Genomic DNA, 21,813 nt, shown 5'->3' with positions numbered 1-21,813 from the left:
CTTTTCCCTTTCAATTTCAAATTGAAGATTGTAAACTCTTTCTTTTAAATAATATACCTCAATGATGCTAAATTATAAATCTTAATTCGGTATGATTCAGTGATTTTAATCTTACAAGATAATTATTCTGAGTAGGATAAAAAAGGTTCCCTTAAGATTGAAGGCATTTTCATTACAATCCCCATTTTCAGATCAAACAAATACTATGAAATAAACAGTACTATTATTCTTTTATGCTTAATAGTTTGTACTTTTCAATTAAAGTATATGGATGAAGAAATAAGGCTATAGATAATGGCAGTCTCATTGTTTGCAAACTAAGTGCTTTTGATAAATTTTACTGCTAGGAATTACATGGATCTAAGGGAATCTTTTAGATAAAAATTACAGTTTTGATTATCTAAATGGAATATGTTCTTGTGCATGTGCATAGATATATTTCTTTGTGAAGGTATTGATGTCAGGGACACTTTTGGTATTCCTTTATGAGTATTTAGGTTAACGGGGTTAGTTAGAAAATGTATCCTTTCCTGGAAAATGAAAAATTACATTCAAGCAGAGGTAAAAGAGTAGAACATATTCATGACTTTAAGTACTTAAAAAGATATTTTATGAGTCATTTTTGAAGAATAATTCCCAATATGTAACTTGTTAAGAATAATCACCATTTTTACTTTCTAAAGCACATCTATATTAAAACTGACTTTCTGTTCATGACTCGCAAATCTGGAGTCAATTTTAGGCCCAACTTACAAAAGATGTGGGTCTTATCCCCCCTGCCCTTATCGTGGTATCCTATGCCAGTAGAGTCAGTACAAAGTTCTCTTTTAAAGAGAGATTTTCATTTGCATTATTCAGAAGATTAAGCAACGTTTTTGGGAGGGAAATACTGATAGGACCCAAATGTAGACATTGGGACCCTGAATGGCCTGTATCCTTGTCTGACAAACTGGAAGGAAAAAATATTACCAGCTTTGGAATTTTACATGCCTATATGAACAGTGCTTTTTCTTTCTGTGGGAAGATTTTAAACATACTATGAATACAATAAGTGTTACCTAATTGGAAAAATATGTTTCCTATAATTCTAAGAGTACTAATCAACCAATCATCGATATCAATTTACTCATGGATGGTAAGATAGTAGAATTTTATTCAGAAATGAATGTCCAGTTGGAGCTGGTATCTCTTTAGAAAGTGAAAAAAATTACACATAAGCAAAATTCTTTTGGTAATTTTTTAAAAACATGGGTGTGAAATCTCCATCAATAAAATTTTTGGCAGTTAAAGTATTACAAAAAAAATTGAAAGCTCTTTATTATGTTTTGTTCTTTAATAAGCCTCTAAATGAGCATATACAGTGCAATAATGCCTTTTTTGTTTACTTTTTTAATTTTTGTCTTGTTTTATTTTGTTTTAGCATAAAGTAAAAAGAACTTATAGGTAAACTATTTTGTACTATTTATTTTTAAAGATATCTAGTAAGGACAGTACAACATATAATATAGGTTTGTTCATAATCATGGGTAAAAAATCTACAATTTTACCACCATGTAATGGTAGTTCCTTGAAATTTTACCCTACTACAGCAAAATGCCACAGTCACTAAGATGGGAGGTGTTGCTGATATATGATTGGAATGCACATGTATACTTAAATACATAATTTTTAAAAAAATTGTCTTTATTTTCTAACAGCTTGTTGGTGTCCTTTGCTTAGGGCTAAGGGGAAAATGTTTTCTGCTATTTTGCTATTGGCATACTCACCAAGAACCTTGCTGTCTAAGCCATCTTCCTACCTACCTAGCTGTGTACCGTTTTGAAGAGCTGTTTTTTTCTTTTCTTTTCTTTCTTTTTAAAAAATTTTTGATATTTGTCTGCAAGACTGGTTATTACTTGATCATCTGGAAAATCAAATTTCATTTCAGCCACTGGAATATGATACTTAGATCATGAGAAGTAGTTTGAATTAATTAAGAGGATAATATTAGGGTTTATATTAGGGAAGAGTAAAGCAGCATTTGTTGTCATGGACAACATGTAGGAATAGGGGAAGGAGGCACAAGTTCGAGAAAGTCATTGAGGCAAAGCTAACATTAAAGACTGTTTTCATGTGGTTGTTACACAGAATGATATTGGCAATTTTGTAAATTAAACCCTAATATTAATTATGTAAAAAAAACCTTATCAGTTATTAAGAATCATTGACTAATAATCAGTAAATAGCATGTAGCACTATTTTAACAAATTATATTCTCCGTATCTTTTCGTCCCCATAATTTTAAAAAGTGTGAAAACATATATATATGCCTTTAAAGATGGTTCAACTTATTCTCAGACTCTTTTATTCTCTCTTAACATACTCAAGTTTTTAGGCCACAAATGAAGTGACAGAATAAAATCCATTGAAGATGGAGGTATATGTCCTTTAAGGCTTCTTTTGGAAACTAATGTGTTTACTGCCATTATGGAAGTTGAAATCATTGAATACTTTGAATTGGTTTTAGAAAAATTTGATGTTAAATTTTGTATCAACTCAGTAAATGCTTGCTATAACTTCCTGACCAAACTAAAGCCCCAAACAAGCAAAATAAATAAATAAATAATAAAAAAACTTTTGCCTAAGCCCTACACCAGATCAGTTAGATGAGATTTTAAACTCCTCAGATGATTCTAATGTAAACCAAACATTTATATATATCAAGAGATCTTAAAATTTTTACCTTTTAAAAAAATGTCATTCTTCCTGGTTTGAAGTTAGAAAAATGAAGATATCTATTCAGAACTGAATATACTAATGACATGTACAGATAGCTCATCATCCGGCTGAAGTTCAACAACCTATCTAGACTTTTGAAAACATTTCTGTCAGTCTTGCAAGAACATCTCAGGAAAGTAACGATGATGAAGGACAGTGTCAGCAGAAGCCCACAGTCGAAGATCATTTTGTTACCTTGGGTAAGCCATTCAACCTCACTGAGCCTTAGTTTTTAGTTTACTTTTTTATAAAAGAAGAGATGATTGAGGTGATCCGATGATGACTAAGATTTCTTGCAGTTTTGTATACTCCATGACTGCTTTGTCATGGACCAGTGAACTCAAGTAACTTGGACCTTGCTAGTCGTCTAAAAGATGCAAAATATTTTTGTTTCTCTTAAGAAAGCTCCAAAAATTATCTTGGAAACAATGTAGAAAGCTCAAGGACCATTTATTACTTTGTTAAGCCCATCAGAAGAGATGATAAGCATTCATTAAATATGCTTACTAATTGGTTGCATGCAAAAGTGTCAGCAATTCTAATATCTTAAGAGTTGATGGGTATTAGTTAGCTAATGCTTTTCTCTTGTAAGAGATTTCAATAGAGTGGCAATCAGATTAACTTAAGCAGTGGAGTTAGAAACCTCAAATCCTTAAAATATTTAGTATGAAAGGTGGACTTTTATCAAACTGAAAGCAATACTTTTTTCCTGTACTTTATCAGCAACTAGTCTTTGTCCACCTTCTTTTTGCTTCCTGGCATGTTCTTCTTCGCTTGTTGAAATCCTACTAGGACTTTGGTATCCAGGTCAGTTGTTGCATCATCCATGAAGCCTTCTTTGAGGCACCCTAATTAGGATTGATTTCGACGTCTACTTAATTGTCCCTTAGAACATTTGAAATGTCTCCTTTAGATCACTTACCATCATCTTTCTCCTACTATAGATTGCTAGGCATTTGTGTTTCTCTATTATGAAGCTGTAAATTGCTTGAGAGCACACACATCTAATTCATTTTTATTTTTTATCTCCTCAACATGTGTGTATAGCATAAGACCTATAATAGGAATTCAATAAATGTTTGGTGAATTGAATTGATAAAAGCATAGGAAACTATCACTTGGTTAATATTTTATTTTATTTTATTATTTTATTATTATTATTATTTTTGAGACGGAGTCTTGCTCTGTCACCCAGGCTGGAGTGTAGTGGCGCGATCTCGGCTCACTGCAAGCTCCACCTCCCGGGTTCACGCCATTCTCCTGCCTCAGCCTCCCCAGCAGCTGGGACTACAGGCGTCTGCCACCACCACGCTCGGCTAATTTTTTTGTATTTTTTAGGAGAGACAGGGTTTCACCGTGTTAGCCGGGATGGTCTCGATCTCCTGACCTCATGATCCGCCCGCCTCTGCCTCTCAATGTGCTGGGATTACAGGCGTGAGCCACCATGCCCGGCCAGTTAATATTTTATTAATCTTATTTTAAAAAATTAAAAGATGATTTTTAAATATTTAAAGAATGGATCTATGAAAATTGTATATTTCATTAAAAAATTGAAATTTCTATATTCTTTATATAATGTTATTACCAAAGAAAGACTTTATAACCCTGAAAAATAGTTTTATAATTATATACTTAAAAAGGAGCTTACAGTCATTAATTCTATTTTTGTATCTCTAGATAGGAGAGCCTTTAAACTCTTTTATAAAAAACATTATGCTATCTTTAAAATCTTATAAAACATAAATCTATAGACTACTTTGATTATAGGTGTAACAAATAGCTTTAAATCACTATTCTCCATGAAATATTTTTTTCTCATGTGTTTGCAGACAGAAAAATTTGAGGGTACAGAAATCATAAAATATTAGACTCTGAGACTTCCAGATTGACTTCTTACCAATATAGAGTTGATTGACAGTTGGTCATTCTGCCTTTGGTTGAACGTGGGAAATAAGTACCTCCTAAGGCATTTCTTTCTATTTTGTCCTTTCTCTGATAAATAGGCAGTTTGCAAATATGTGCACTATCAGTATTCAAGACAGATTTCCTTGGAAACATGATGATACTGGGGTGGTAAAATGTGAGATGCAAACTAGTTGATCTACAGTTGATACGATAACTTAATTCGTGAATGTCTTTGGTTAATATTTTAATTGGGACCTTTATCTAACTAAATAGTGTCTATTAATTTATTTTGTACTGAATACTGGGCAGTAAACAATTTAGCTGGGATTTCACCCAATAGCTCTTTTAGGTGTTCAATAGCTTTACCAGTTGGGTTTGTGTGCTCGTGGAAGGGTCAGCTACTTTCTCAAATCTGCCGTGAATGTTACAATAAATAGCATTACAGTATTTCTAAGGCAAATTCAATTTGATCAAATGTTAAATTATAATGAGTTAGGCAACAGTATTTGACAAGATTTATATTTCATATTTGTGTTTTTAAACCTAAAGATGTACCAGAGAAAAGCATTTGCTCACATTATTTCGTTAAATAACCCAGAAAAAAACAAAGACTCTATTGTCATTCTTTTAAAAACACAATTTTACTAAGAAAACCTATAACCTTTACTGAAAGCTCACTCGTTTTCTTCCAATTTGGGCTCTTGAGAGCTGAAAAGTTCTAGATGCTATCTTACCACTTCATATTGAAATCTAGGTTGATGTCATACACTCTACGCAGAAGAAAGTATCTGTAGTGCTGATTGTTGAACCTGAATCATTACAAAGATGTGCCATTTAGTGAGCTATAATGGACAAATGTTGCTTAGTTAATTGTATAAAAACACTGCATCTTCAGCAAAGAGCTCTAATAGTAAAGGACAGTACATTGAAGGTAGAATAATAAAGATTGTGAAACAATATGTTAAAAGTAGCAAAAGCATTTTTGCAGTGTGACTTCAACAGTGAAGACCCGTGTGTTTAGTTCCTTTGTTAAATAGACACTTCTGGTTTTCTAGAAACCATTCAATGTGCTTCAAGTGAGTTAAAATTGTTAAAATATAGATTAAAAGCCATCAGATTGAGAGTAAAGGCCACAAATTGTAAAACCTTATAGTGGTAGCTTGCCAACAACCAACTTAAATCCAGGGAATATTTAAAAGAGGCTTAAAATTCTACTTGGTTTATAATCAGGAAGCTGTGGGGTTTTAAATTAATAAAAATATTCATGAGAATTATTTACATGTAAAATGCACCCATTTTCCTTTACCCTTCTGGTAGAAGAAAATTGGGTGATCCTTCTCAAAAGGGTAATCATGTAAGTTGGTGGCCACAAAGTATGAACCATGGTTAAAAGTCAGTGGTTAATGGTTTATTTTGTTGTCTGCCTTCTTTTACTGCTTCCTCCTTCCTTCCCTTTCTTTTTATTTACTTATTTATTTATTTTGACCCTATATGCATAGTTGACAGCTGTCAGTAATAGAATTTTTGGCTAGATCTAGACACAGCAATTCTTGAAAAATATGAAACTATATTTGTCCTTTTGGCCTATGATCTGAATTAAAAGATAAAATTATTTCAGGCCAATACAACTACATAGGTACATGCATGCGTGCACACGTGTGTGTGTGTGTGTTTATTTAGTAGAGCAACCTGTCTTTGCAACAAATGACAGTGTTGAAAGCTCTTTCATTCTGAATGGACCAGTTAGTAGCTCCATACAGACACCATCTAAGTGAACCTATTTAAATACCTTTCCAGATTCTTAACTAAGTGGTGCAAGTCTGTCTTGGAGGTGGCACTTATTTGTCCCTTAGGGGTTAAGTTTGGTTTGATATTCAGTTGAAGTGTCAGTAAATAAGATTTATGAGAAATTAATTAAAACTAAAATTGAAAATGGATGAGGTACAAGTTTACCCTAAAATGGCTTGAATATATTTGTCCCAAATGCATGAAAAGAATGTTTTCTAATGGACTCTTTTGATTAGAATAGAAACTAATCACAAATAAACCATTTAAAATTTGCTATCATGATACAATTGTTTTCATTCAGTGGTCGGCCATGCCTTCTTTTAGCCTTGTCTTTGTCCAGGGTTTAGTTTAGTCATGCATATGTCCTTGAAGAAATGTAGCATCTTTCACAAGATTTTGTACAAGTGAAATCAGATACCAATTTTTATTGCAGAACCAAGCCTACAAATGTTTCTCTTTAAAGACATTTTTAATAGAAACAGTAAGGTATAAATCATTTAAGCAATTACCTGGACATTGTGGAAACGGGGCTTGGCTTATTCTGTAGCCCCAGATGTTTCCAGATTCCAGTAATAACCCGGTCCAGATATTTACAGCTTAATTTTCTGTGCATGTGCATTTGTCCACAAATGGCTCCTATTTCCCATTTTCTGTTGGACAACTGGGCTACTTAGAGGTTTAAAAAAAATGATTTCAGCTTGGGTGATGACAAACATTAATGGTGATAATAAGTTGCTTCTAGAAACTTTGATCACTTAAAAACATATAGAGGCTAAATTTTAGAGGATTTTATACTAAAAAATAAATTGTTCAAATGGCATTTTGCTTTATGGATGAGACTGGGATGAATAACTTCCCCCATCCCTCAAAATTTTAGTCTTGATATGCTACGTGATCAAAGTGATTCTTCGTTTTTCTTTAAAAAATGCATATTCTGGCACTGGTTGGGTTATCATGCAGGCTGCTAGTTTTTCTTTGCATCACTACCCCACAGGTTTTCTTCTTCTTACTAGAAACTAAACAAATGGAAAATAATGATTGGTAACCATCTGCTGTGCAGAAATTTTACATATAGCAGTTAACTCTATTTTAGAAAACAAGACCAAATGAGTGCATTATACTGTTGCCAGTAAATAGCAACAAGCACTAGAGCGTTCCTTTGGACAACGCAGGCACACAGGGAGCCAACATTTTGTTATGGGAAGTCAGTTGGTTGGGCTGTGGGGCTGAGTGTGCCCAGACATTTACTTGTGTGTTTGTGTCTGTGTGCCTATGTCTGTGTATGTATTGCTTATGTGAAGAAAGTGATTGCTTCCTCTCTGCCTTCTCCTTGTGTCTCCCTTCTTACCGCCATAATTCCAGTCACGTAAATCAAAGTAATGTAGATGTAAATAAATCAATTCAATCACATCATCCTAAATCTTTTTATTCACTTAAGAAATAAACTTAAAATCCATAAAGTCAGACAGAATAAAGATTTGTAAAAGTATGTAGGCTTCAGATCGGAATCGTGGTTTTCTTCATTGTACATATTACAATGACTAGTGGCTAGCCAATGCATCTTTAGATTATTCTCTTGTCGTATCTTCTGCCTAAAAAACACCTTAACAGGAAATTAGATTGAGTATATGTACAAAAGATATTGACAGGCAATGATTATTCATATAGCTGCTGTTGAAGTATGGATGTTGTATTGAGGGTAGACCTATAATGAAATAGACAGAAGTAAGCTGTTACAAAGAATTTATTCAAATGGACCAGGTAAGGCCTGATTTTATAGTTATCCATATAATCTGTAATATGTCTCTCTCTCTCTCTCTCTCTCACTCTCTCTGTCTTATATATATATAATCTGTTTATTATATCAATATACTTAGGCACTCGAAACATACAATCTCTCTCTTGCTTTCTAACTTTCACTTATTTGATATGGGGATTTTGCCATACAGCAAGAAAAGTTGTTTAAAATGGGCAGTATATTGAGTTCAAAGGACCCATACAGTTCATAAATTCTCTGGTGTCTACTGGATTTTTCATCAGGGAGACTTCCAATAAAAATGATCTATTTTAGAAATAATATTGTTTAGTAGGTTGAAATGTGGTGTAATAAAATTAGACCTTCAGTCTTCTAAAGTTACTACTTAGATGGCACCCTTGGGATGGTAAAATGGCTGTATAAGCAGATGAATCAGACAGTTCCACTGATGGGTACATTTGTCAGTCTCTGTTACAGATATAATATATTCTTATATCTGTAATCCTGACACTGTTACATCCAAATGAAATCAACATGAGGTTGTCATCTTTAAGCAAATATGTTAAGTGTTGTCTTTTGTGCTTTGGATTTGAAAGAAAGGGGCCCAGGGGAGGCAGCATCATGCAAATGGAACAAATCCCATTTCTTCTGAGCTGTGCTGTTTTTCCCCTCCATGGCAGCTGGCTGTGTTATCTTTGTGTGTTTCTCTGAGTGCTGACAATTCTTTCAGTGATCTAAGTTAGGGCACATTAGAAAGTGGAAGCAGCTGTCTGTCGCTATACTGAGAGACGTGTTTGCTCTACTGCAAAGATGAAGGACCATGAATCCTTGACACACTCTCCCCCCTCCCCCCTGTACTTTCCAACATGATCAACATTCAGATGCACAGATTGTCTGCTTGGACAGTTTTTTGTTCTGACTGACAGCATCTGGCATAGACAAATTTAAAAATACATAGCATGCCATGCTTGGAATTGGAACATCCCTTTTTTATTAATCTTCTCATTTAAACCATTCATTTACATTTCAAGAAAGGTTACAGCTTGATATGGTTGAAACGTTGATTTTTAAATGAATAACCTTCTAATGAAATGTCTTGAATAAGTACCAAGCAGCCAGTGTTCATTAAAAATTACACCCGATTAACACGGCCTTGAAAGCCTGAGAGGAAAGGGATTTCTTATTGTTTTAATCCACAATGCAATCCAGTGTTTACCTTTCTGGCACAAAGCGAATAGAAATGATGCCTGTACTTGCAACACTTCTGATATTGAACACAACTATGATATCACCCTTAAGCCGACAAAAAACACTTGGTCTTGTTTAATCAGCTTTTTTTCCCTCTGAAAGCCCTCAGAGGTGTTAAATTTTTTTAAAAAAATTACCAAAATACACCTCTCTCAAATGTCCCACCCCTCCATCACCCCAAAATACTATGACTCTATGCCCACATCAGAAAAAGAAAAAGCTTATATGTTTTCAAGTGGAAGAGTAGTAGAAAACGCTTTTAGGTTAAATGCTTCCCCTGACCCTAGGATGGTGGATATACATTTATTTGTTTGCATTACTTTGGTAATAAAACATAACAGTGCAAAAATTGCTCTCTTTCTCTGCCCCACTCACCCCCACACACATTCACATTTCTTAACCATTCTCAATTCCGTAGTTAACCTTAGCAACATGCCTAGCATTCTTGTAAAAATAATATGAAAATTGGCCATATCAGTCAGTCTTTGGACTTTGAGTCCAGGGGCGGAGGTAGAAATAAGGGTAGGAGAATCCTCTTTTTATCATGCATTTTAGACTTTTCATATCACTGCAGACTTCAGCTGTTAACTACTCACTCCAAGGGTAGCTACATTATTACATAGTTCTAAGGGGTGTTTGGAGAAGGCAAGTGGTGCAAAATTGTAATAAAAAATATATTCAAGTGCTGGGTAGTAAATATGTAAAGCAATGTACTGGATAACTTGGAAAAACAGGCTTCAGAGGGAAGTTCAATTAACAGTTGTAAGCAGAAGAGGTGCTGTATTTCTTCAGCATGTGTAAGAGGTCACTTGCTTTAGGATAAATTTTGACGAATTCCAGAGAGAAATAAATGCTGAAATAAAAATGAAAACAGATTATAGTTTTATATCAAAGGCACTTTTAATTTTTGAATATGATAGGGGAAAATGACAAGATTTTATTCCATGGATTATATATGATTACTTTTTATATATTTTACTATGTTTAAATTATACACTTATTTTACTTTAAACTGTTATTCAAACAAAAGAAATCTTAGAAATGAACATTATCTTTGAATCTGGAACCAGTTTATCCACTCACCCTTCAACCCAGATGCTGGCTCTATAAATTTAAGGTAGACATAATTTGGTTGCTGTTTTTCTTTTCTTTTTTTCCTAAAAGCTAATGGTAGGGAATCCAACTGGAGTGGATCTATTTCCAGTGTTTTGATTGCTAGTAAATGTTTTATAATCAACATTTTAAATATAAATTACATCCTTTGTTATTTTCCATTTTGATTTTTTTTAACGACCAGTTTTTAAAGGTAGTGCCAATGTGCATATGTAAGCAAACTGGGAATGGGTTAAAGTACACAATTCCCTTGTGTAAAAAGCCAGGTTTAGCAGTAATGCTTTTAATCTGGACTTGTGGAAGATTCAGAAGCATCCATAGATCTGCTCCAGTAATTACCATACCCCAAGTGGCACTGGAAGAGACATTTGCCTAAAAACTTGATGTCTTCATTACGCTGTTTACATTTTAATTAGAAACATGAAAATTACTGATTCATACAGACAACTATAGTTTAAGTGGTTTCGTTCACCATCCAATAAATCATAAAAAAGCCCCACAGTTGGCATAAATAGTTTACTAGGAATCATTCATGGGAATAATGTGTTGGCACTATAAGCTGCTTAAAATATGTTTTTATTTTACCAGAGGTAGAATTTGCATATAAATTAGAGAATGGCATTTTAAGTTGACAGTCATTTATGCAGAATACCACCCACATGCAAATACATATATGGGCGTATGTGTATACTTTCTTTGAGTTTATAGGTTTTTGCAGTGTTGTGGATATAGATTCATACCCAGCCTTAGCCTATCAGTTTTTAAAATGAGTGTCCTCTTTTAAAGTCCTTTCAGAAATGCTGTGGGTGTTCTAATGCATATCCACAACCATATCTTTTATTTGTTGGGCAGTATCAACTTGTATAAAAGGAAAATGTTTATTTCTTGTATGTGTATGTCTGGAAAAGGAGTTGCTGTTTCATTTGCTCATTCATTCCCTCTTTCCTCTGTCTTCCATTCATTCTCCCCTAACTTTTGCATGTACCTGTCAATGCTGCTGCCCTGAAACCGCTCCCACTCAGAGCGGCTGGAGTGAAGCAGGGTGGCTGTCAGAGTCCATTCCTGAGTCAGCAGCATGTCCATTGCCTGAATCTTGCGACAGTCACTCATCTAGTTTTTCCTTCCCCAGGGGACAGGCGTCCTCCTCATCAGCAAGGAGGAATGACCCTTCTGGCTGGCATGCTCAAAATCCCGAATCTCCCCACATTGGTGTGTGAGTTCAAATCCCCCCTCCTGGAGGCAGGGCTGGGACTCTAGCTAATGACTCCAAGATACAGAGGGTCAGCGCACTGGTGAGCTCGAGTACTGAGGCATTGTGTGAGCCGAGTTGTACATTTTTCCCATAACTGCAGACTCCTCTCCTTCTCCTCTCCCCTCCCCAAATCCTTTATGGTAGATCAACATGATGCACAAATGAACCAGGCATAGCCACAGACAGTATAAGCTATTTTCCTTTTCTTTATCTTTATTAGAAAGTTACTGGTCATGGATGAAGGAGGGTGTGTTATTTTTTGTTTGTTTATTGTTGTTTGGTTGAAAGGAAGCACACAATGAATGGACATTCGCATTATGTGAGTGTTAAATTCACATTTTAGGCCCATCGGCTATAAATAAAAATGAATTTGAAAAATATTACATAGGAGAAAGAGTGTATGCATAAATGTTTAATTTGGAATGCTATAGTGGTCATTGTTTTAAACTTTTGAATGTGAATGTATTAGGTTGAAACTCATGCTAACTGCCTGACATGATTTCTGGGAATTAATGGGTATAAGATTAATTTTCAAGAAGCTGCTTTAGGTGAGATAAATTTTGAGCTTCACTTCTACATCTTTTGGTTTGCTTTTTGTAAGTTCTAGAGGATTGCCAAAGTTGGAAGATGCTAATCAGTTATTTTTAGTGGCTCACAATATTTTAGATTTTAATGGAAAGTAGCTAGGATCAGTTTCTTGGTAATCCAGGTAATTGGTCTAGGTAATCAGACCAGGAGTTTTAAAAACAGTAATTAGTACTTTGCATTTACGAGGCAGAATTCCTGAACAGGTTAGTTAGGGTAATAGTGGAATTCATGGACATATGCTCATTGGTTTGCTTTGCATTGCCTCTTTTTTGGGGGGAGGTGACGCAGGACACTTACTAGGTTTCTGTGCTTCCTAGATGTGATTAGACACAATAGTCAACATCTGTAAGGACAGAAACATGCTGCTTACTTGTACACATGGCAAAATTCTAATAGTTCTGTGCAGTCTGGTAAATCCTGTCTGCTTTATGCAGTGTGGCCCAAAACAGTTATGTGGTGAGGGAATGCTGGCTGCTGGCCAGCCATTGACTATGAAATCCTGGGTACCTGAGAGCTTATCAGTTCTTTTGCTTTGTAAAAGAAAAAAGTGATGAAAATGTTGGTAAACTGCCATGAAGGTTTAAGGCTCCTGGAACAAGGAGCCGTGTAATCAGATTGGAAAATGGAGCTTGAGATTCTCTGCATGGAGAGCAGCCGTCTGTGGACCCCGTGAGCCGCTGTGCAAGTGCCCGAGCTGACCACTTTGTTAGCAAATCAGCTTGTTTGCTGCAGCAGCAGGGTGGAAAAGACCAGAGCTTGTGATGGTATGTAACGGAGGGAGAGCTCTTGCATGGCACAATCTAATCAGCTTGCAATTAGCTCAGGCTCTACAGTCACCTTCTTAATTTTCTTTTTTCCCCCCTCTTTGTGTTAATACTGTGCACTTTAAACAATTAAGGAAGGGAAGTAATCCTTCAAGCAAATCAAAACCATCCTTTAATTTTATCACCCTGCTGAAAAAGTATCAGGTGGTCCACTGGTCCTCATCAGATGCTGGAAATTCTCCGGCTCACTGTAGCACAGAGAGGGGCTTTAACCAATTGATTTTTGGGATAATCTTTCAAATATCTTGGCAAGGAGGAGAAGAAAATGGTACATCATTTAAACTAGAATCAAAGTTAAAACTGATGTGAAGGGGGATTACAAATGCCTTTTGGTTTACATGCAGTAGTAAATGTCTTTTGGTTTATATACAGTAGTGCCTCTGTTTTATATTTTTAATAACCAGAGGCAGGCTCTGTGTGTGTGTGTGTGTGTGTGGTGTGTGAAAGAGACATCTGTGTGTGTATGTCTCATATATAAAATCCTTTATACTGCTGTTTATTTAGGCATTTCTTTACAGCACCTTTCTGAAGACTCTGATGACATAGCCACTTGTACTGATAATTCCACTACTTCACCTTTACCGAACTTGATTCACTAAGGTTTAAAAGAACAAGGCTATCATTGCTGATCATATGTGCTACTTGTTAATCCCTTAAAATAAAATTCAGATCCTGTGGGAGAGAGGTGAGAAGAACAAAACAGAGATTTGCAAAATTGGTGTAACAGTTTTATATTTTACTGAATTTAAGGACAATGACTTCTGTAATATCACTTAAATAAGATGCCTATTTACATAAACAAAATAAACAAATCTTCTAATAAATATTACTTAAGCTACTTTTCCTCATCCTCAGAGTTTTTGCTAAAATATTATTCATGTGACTGAATCTCTGACCAGATACGTTTATTAGGTGTTTGTCTGTCATGAGGTGAAAATGGGCACTATTTCACCAACGTTTACTTTAGAAAGCACTACAAGAAATGATTACTATAATAGCTTTTGCTTTTAATGGTTATTAAATAATCAATTAGAGTATTTTAAATAATTCTGCTGCATAATAGTCCATTTCTTTTGGAGGTTGTTTGTGTTAATAAAAATAAAAATTGCTATAATGTGATTGATGTTTGATTACATTAACATTGTATTTGAATTCTTTCCATGTTGGCAACATGAAAATTTATTTGCCTTTATTAAATGGAAAAATATTACTGTTTTATTTTGCCTTAAAAAAAACCTCACAACATATAACCAAGCATTTGAACTCAGCGGTTTTTATTTTAACAAACAATTCAAAAAGTTTAGGTGTTCGTGTATTAATGTTGCCTTTAAAATAGCACTTGTTATCTTTCTATATGTATTTGATTATATGTCTTACATTTTGTACTTGGAAGAATGAATTCAGTTTGATAGAAAATGAGAGTAATTGATATAAAGTGCATTTCAAATTAAGTAAGCTTTTAAGTTTGCCTCAGGGTTTTGCTGGTGTTTCTACAGTGTGTCCTTTTTTTGTTTTTTAACTTTTTTGTTTCTAATTAAAAAATAGATTAAAAGAAACATACATCACCTACACACATCTCATGCTGCAAAGATTCACTTTATATTCTTTTAGAGGACAAACTCCATTAGATATGCACTTACTGTACATTGGATTGTAAATCTTACAATTTAATGGTAATTCAGTGAGCAGTTATTGCTTCAGTGGCCTTTTTTCTTTCTTTTTTGTCCCATCTCACTTGTGAAATAGGGTTACCCTTTACAAGTGTCACATCCATAGATTCATCTTTTGTACTTTGTAGTTGTTCCTGGTGCATCATTCTTATGTTTAAAAAAAGGCAAAGCAATGGAGGAACCATGTGGAGGGTGGTAGGTGGGGAGTGTGTGTACGTGTGTGTTCAGAGGGTGGGGGCTGTGGAATGACAGCTTTCATGCTTATTCCAGAGAGCGAGGGAGGGGCAGGGGGAGATATCCAGAAAGATACAAGACTCTAGCAACAGAATAACCAGGAGCGTTAGCATCAGTCTAACAGATTAATATCTTTTTCTAAATATGCATTTCCTCTAACCTCATTCTTAATCTAACGTTCAGTTTTCCGTAACAGATTGCATTCTGCACTTGAATTCCTGGAAGTAGAAATAGTATCTGATTGGTACAAGTCTCTTTGCCTTGCTTACACTGTTAATATTCTTATCCTTTTTGGACACTGAAATAGTTTTTTTTTTTTTTTTGTAGAAACAATATACACATTCATAAAGAAATTATAAAGTGATTCTCCTTTTGAAGATAATGAGTTCTCTTCAGGAACTGCAGGTTACATGGCGCACAAATGAGCTCTAAGTGGGGGGATTTAAAGTCCTGCTACAGCATTTAATTTCTTGAGGAAAGGAGTTCAGTTCAAGGTTAGCCTGTTATTGTGGCACTGGCAACTACTTCTCGCGTCCCTGTTCTTCTGCCAGCAGTACTGCACAAAAGGCAGTCATTTTTATTTAATACGTAGGGAGGTATTAATCACTGCAGTATTTTCTTGCAAAAATTTATCTTATCATATTCATTGTTTCACTACCCATGACAATAATAGGTGTTTAATTACTCAATAAGAGCCATTTATAGATTCCATTTTTCCTGTATGCTGGACAAATGGTATTGATTTTGTACTTTGATGCAACATGAAACTGTATTAAACACAATTAGAATTCCAAGGCTGGTAAAATGTACATTTGTTATGGTAACTGGACTTGCTTTGAGAAGCTGCAAGCGTCTTCTAATACAGGGAATGCCTTTGGAGTAAAAAGGAGATTTGATTTTATTGCAGCTCTGTGGTTAAAAATGAATGCTTTTTTTCTTATGTTGTGTGTCTATGTGTGTGTGAGTGCATGTGTGCATGTAGATTTTAGTTTTAGTGAAGTAATAAAAAGTTTATATTAATTGAAAAGATTTTAAATGAATGGTTCTTTGCAGTCAGACAAGCCATTGTGTACAGGTGAACACTGACTCTGTGTAATCTTGTAATTGTGTCTCTTTAGCTAATGCCATAGGTCTTTATTTTACCAACAAGTAAGTTATTACCTGGAGTGAGGGTAGGAACTCTACTAGATAAAGTAGTACCTTCATCTCATGCTGGTTTCTAGTTTAACTCCTTCTAAGGTGATGAGGAAGGCCTCCAAATCCCTATTGTGTCATAAGTTAAAGAGTGGGTTTTGTTAAAATTGGCACTAAATAAAAACCTTTCATTTAGCTAGCACTATTATGTCATAGTCAGGCAGCACAAAGTCTTGCACAGAACTGAACTCAATTCTGTCTTCCAGCAGTGCAAGTCTGCCTGCATTTTGCTTTACTTTGCTTTTTGCAAACACATTTCCACCTGCCATTTGGCCCATCCAAAACTATAATTTGAGAAGACTCTCTTGTTGGCCAATGCATTAATTGCCTGTGATTTTCAGCTTCTTAAAGATTTATTTGCTGTGGAGGAAGGGCATTTAGCCTAACCAAAATAAAAAGCAAAATGAACCAAGGATAGACTAGCAGTTGCCTAATCTTCATAATTTCCACGAAAGTGTAGCTTGTATCCTTGCTAAATCTTACTTTGTATTTTTTTCTAAGGATCATAGACCTCCAGGCTGAAATTTCTCAGTTTTAGAGAGTGAATGGATGACTACCCTTATCCCTAAATAAAGGAAGTAGCTCATTGACACAATTCCTTTCTGCATCGAGGGTATTTTATTTGCTGGAACACTAATGACCAGTACTAGAACACTAATTGATAGCACTACTTTGACACAGAATTTTTAACATTTGTGTAGAAGGCACAAAACTTCAGGAGAGATTTTATAAATATTTGCCATTTGCTTCACAGTACAGAAACAACCTCAGTCAATTGTTTATTAGTTTTAATTGAACATTTCTTATTCAATTAATATTTGTATTATTATTTTCCTTATGGGTTGTCATATGATAGGATATGTTAACATTTGTAAGGCAATGAGAAAATAAATAACAGTTTACATCTGGCTAGTGTATTCCTTTTTATCCTAGAGCTTTCAAGAGTGAGAGTAAAAATAAATTGATTGACCTGCCCATTTTAAAACACCATTCTATTTTTTTCTCATAAATATGAAAAGAAAACCCAACTTTCATTCCCGAAGTATGTGTTTTATGTTTATTTTACCTTGTTATAGGGGCTGGGCAGATACTGGGAAGAAGGGGCTTCTCGGGTAATGGAATCTGAGGTCTGCAAAGTCCTGTTCAGATAGATCCTTGAACACATAGTAAATCGCTTCTTGAGTGGGATGGGGAATGCTGTAGTTTATAAGGTAGGATTACCTTTCAAAGGAGAAGAAAAAAAGTCTAGATATTTCCAAACCTTTGGTCTTTCTCCAGCATACTGAAACTAAGGTCTGCTTGATTATCTGGCCTGGGCTGTAGGTCGCTGATGATTTCATTTGTGATCTCTCCAGATGAACTCTTTTGTACTTTATATTTCAGCTTAGACAAATCATTTATTTACTTAATAATGTGCATGTAGTTTCAATTAAGTGAAAGATGATCCCATGTAATTAGCTAGTTGTAAAGTGGATTACATAAAAAACTGGCATGGAGGCTGTTCTATAGCTAAATATTACTTTTTAGAAAGGCTTCCACCTCAAAAAGAGTGTCTGGATTGCCCAAGGAGTGTCTGGGTTTGAATTTGGGCTGCACAACTCCTTACTGCAAGGTGATGTATTCCTTCTCTGTGTTTGCCAAGGTCAAAGTTATGTGATGCACGTGGAAACTTGGCTTTCTAAGGAAGCCATCTGAGTCCTCATTATGGCATCAGAATGTATGAAGACTTACACTCTGGTATGCATAAGGACACCCATTGCCGTATTTACGGTACCTTAGACTCTTCAGGAAGAATCTATTTTGAGAACTTTACTTTTGTCATCTTATCTCACAGAAACTTTCTATATCGTTGTGAACAATGAACAATAGTCTATATGCAACCATTACTTCTTAAGCATTAATATCATATGTAACTTCTGAATTCCTTTAACTTCCTTACTTGGGGTAGTATAGTATTTTGTTTGTGGAAGCAATTCTAGACTCCTGTGTCTACCTTGTTTTTCTTTTTCTCCCCTTACAGATTTTGCCTTTCCTCCCTCCAAACCTCAGCACCGTCCACTCCTGCCCCCATCTAGCAGGATTCTCCTAACCTCACTTTTAGCTGTTTGAATAAAAATCGATAAGACTATTATAAGCATTTGAAACTTTTTAAAAGACAGAAACAATATTTTAATTACTACTGACATGCCAGTTGGAAGCCCATATCCTCTTTTATGACAGTTCAGTTTAGAAACTACATTGCTTCATTTCAGTAACTTTATTACCATTTGGCTTAGAGATTGCTATTTCGCCTTGGCCACAGATTTCATCAGTTGCCCGGTTCACCTTTGTCCACATTATACTTGTGAAATGACCTCCTCCGTTAGTGCTTGTCAATAGTAAATTGCTATATTCTGCGCCTAGAAACACACCAAAGGACTACAACATTTTATTGAATGACTGAGTTTGTACTTAATTTTTAAAAATTAAAATTTAATTGGAACAGTCTTAATTACATTTAATACTAGTTAATTAAGGCACTGGTTAGGGTCAGCTATCACAGACATCATTCTTATTGATAGTAGGAACAATAAACACAGCGTAGTGTGCAGGTGTCTATATAACAAGTATGTTTTCTTTGGTGTTTTCCCCCTTTAATTTTCTAACTATTCTATCAAAATAACAATATGTGAGGTGGCCAAGATTCAGTTATCCTGATGACATCAAATTAATTTTTTTTGAGAATTCCCAATGATGAAATTATCTCTTCACAGAAACTTCTTTTAAAATGTTGAGAAATTTGTGCTATTGTAACATAAAGACAAATAGGATTTGATATCACAATGTGGCTTAAAAATAGTTATGTAAACAATCTTAAATATAAATTTTTATTTGAAACAAATGACTGAAATAGTATATTTGGAAGTATTTAGAAATTTCTGGTTATATCAAGACCAGTAGTATCTCTGTTAAATATGTATTTTTCCTAACTACAGATATTTTTATTTATTATAAGATTTACAGGAAAAGAAAAAATGCCCACTCTTCACCTCTTTTCACAGATAGTTTCACTTTTTTATCTCCTTAACAAAGCCATTTCCATAAATAGATCACTGCCAAGTTGTTTGAAAATTAGGGTAAAATAAAAGGCCTGCATTCTTGGAAATCTCATTTTAATGAGATTTACAATAATGATTAAATACTGTTGATATTTTTCAAATGTTGCTTGATATGGACTTAGTTTTGGTTGTATAATTTCACAAAGATTATTTTACTTTACTAAAAACACTTAAATTCCAAATTCCATCTCTTCTGCATTTTTAATCTTCTTTGTTTCTGTTTTGTCACTACACTCTTTGAAATAACCTGATATCAGGCAGAGTTTACCCACTAGAGAATAAAATGAGGATCATACTATTGAGGAGTGTTTTTTCTTTTTTTGTTTTTTTTTTTGAGACAGAGTCTCATTCTGTCGCTAGGGTGGAGTGCAGTGGCGCGATCTTGACCCACTGCAAGGTGCAACCTCCACCTCCTGGATTCAAACGATTCTCATGCCTCAGCCTCCCGAGTAGCTGGGATTACAGGCACATGCCACCATACCCAGCTAATTTTTTTGTATTTTTGGTAGAGACGGGGTTTCACCATGTTGGCCAGAGGAGTGTTGTTTTGACAGATAAACATGGTAAGCTTGGTTGTTTTCTTCCTGAATGTTTTGAAATAAAAGAGGATTGAAATTTTATTCCTCAATAGAAATTAAGAATAATTATATAACTCTTGTACAATTTTATTGATGTTAGGCAATGAAGACAGAAAAGAAATGTTAAGTTTTTCTCCTTCCAGATGTAACTGATGCTGCAATGGCCGTGACATTCAGGAATATGAAAGTTTTCATCGTTTGTTTATACCTTTGGTCATACTGGCATAATTTTTTTTGTTTGTTTTAAATGAGATTATTGCTCTAGAAAAGAAAAACTTAATAAAACCTTGTGTTTGAAAATAAAATTTTGTCAGAATTTCAGCCAACAAGATTTCCTGTGTGATGCACAACTAATATTTCAGTGTTGCTGTTCCTCAAAGATTGGGTTTTAGGGTGCATGCAGCTCAGGACAGAATTATATCAAACCAAAAGCATATGCAGTCTACATGTGATTTGTTTGGATGATATGCAAAGATATGAATTGTGTATTTTAATCAGTATACTTTAGTTTCATTTTACAAAAAGAAAAATTAGCTCAGTCTAAATCTGAAATAAATACAGACATTTACAGGCACCTGTTTGAATCATCATGATTAGGTTTATTTTATGATATATTAATATTATTAAAATTCCCAGTAAGAAGAAGTCACATTTAATATACAATATTTGAGTGGATTGTGTGTGCTTATTAATAGTGTCACAGTTTAAGTAAAACTATTAAGCCGCCATCTTTACATACTTGGTTTTACCTTTTTGGATGTCTTGGGCAAAGGTTCAAGGTATTTCTTTTCAGGTAAATAATTTGTAACTGCTGTTAATTAAAATATAGTTCTCTAAAATAGAACCCATTTAGAAATAATAATAGTTGGAAATAAACAACATGGAAAACTAGATGATTTGTGGTTCAAATTTACTGATAGATAAGTTAAACATTAGAGCCATAAAGTGTAAATTTGCGTAGCATTTAACAAGCTTTAGAAGAGCATTAAAAGTAACCTATATGTAATATGCAATACGAATAGAGCTTCACAGAGCCCCAGAGGAAGCTGAAAATGTAGTTCAGGATGCTTCAGGCTGTCTGAGATGTTGAGATTATGTTCCACAAAGACCAAAATAAGGTTTCAGCAAGGTTTTCTTGCAACATGTAAGTTTTCCAGATGAAGAGAAATGGACATATATTAAATTTCCAGCAGCTTAAAAATGCAGTCATTTGTAAGTGATTAAAATGGACGTTGTTTTTAGTTTTTCTGTAGTAGTTGGCATTCCTTAACTGGTTTTTATATTAAACCAGTTATGTTAAAAAACAAACATGTATACAGTGTGCCTATCTTGTCACTATGTTAATAGAAAATCATTCAAAAATTAAAGGAAAGAAAAGTAAAACCATTATAATAAAAGATTGTGAGAGCTGCTTGAGAGTTGTGGGGAGTAATCTTGCATCACATCTATTAGGATTGTCAAAAAAAAAAAGACAAAAAATAAACAATATAAAATAGAGTTTACATAGTACTCTTTTCTTTAGATGTTTTTTGGAAGTCTCACATGTTGTCAACTTATGTATTTTTTATATAAAGTGACCTGTAACTAAAATTTTAAGAATTTAGTTCTGCCATTGTCTTGAAATTAAGCAGGTAAAAACACAACCTCTCTGGGTCTCAGTGTTTTTCATCTTAAAATGGATGACTTCCATCCAAAGATTTCTAAATTCTCTTTCAGCTCCAAAACACTATGAGAAACTATGGAACTATGAAGTTCCATCTGAAAATTTTTAAGAACATGGAAACTGATTGTGCTACTCAGCTTTTCTG

The 21,813-nt window shown here is 34.4% G+C and overlaps 1 protein-coding gene and 1 long non-coding RNA gene across 4 annotated transcripts in view, besides 1 other annotated feature; both read left to right on the top strand.

Annotated features, from left to right (window-relative positions):
• Window positions 1-21,813, top strand: part of FIGN (fidgetin, microtubule severing factor) — a 133,398-nt gene that overhangs the window by 8,893 nt on the left and 102,692 nt on the right. The gene's annotated exons all lie outside the window — the stretch shown is intronic.
• The window catches only part of LOC107985957 (uncharacterized), a 65,994-nt gene that overhangs the window by 6,826 nt on the left and 37,355 nt on the right, over window positions 1-21,813 (top strand). The window contains exon 1 of the long non-coding RNA XR_001739759.2: window positions 1-21,813. This exon is cut by the window's left edge and continues 6,826 nt beyond it. This is a non-coding gene — a long non-coding RNA (uncharacterized LOC107985957).
• Window positions 8,168-9,619: an enhancer, noted in NCBI's record as "VISTA enhancer hs640". NCBI's record gives its function as "enhancer in: hindbrain (rhombencephalon)[5/6]" and the evidence as "EXISTENCE:transgenic organism evidence [ECO:0001131][PMID:17130149]".

Source organism: Homo sapiens, chromosome 2, assembly GCF_000001405.40.
Source record: "Homo sapiens chromosome 2, GRCh38.p14 Primary Assembly".
Lineage (NCBI taxonomy): Eukaryota > Metazoa > Chordata > Mammalia > Primates > Hominidae > Homo > Homo sapiens.
Note: the sequence above shows the minus strand (reverse complement) of the source record. Positions and strands in the feature narration are given on the sequence as shown.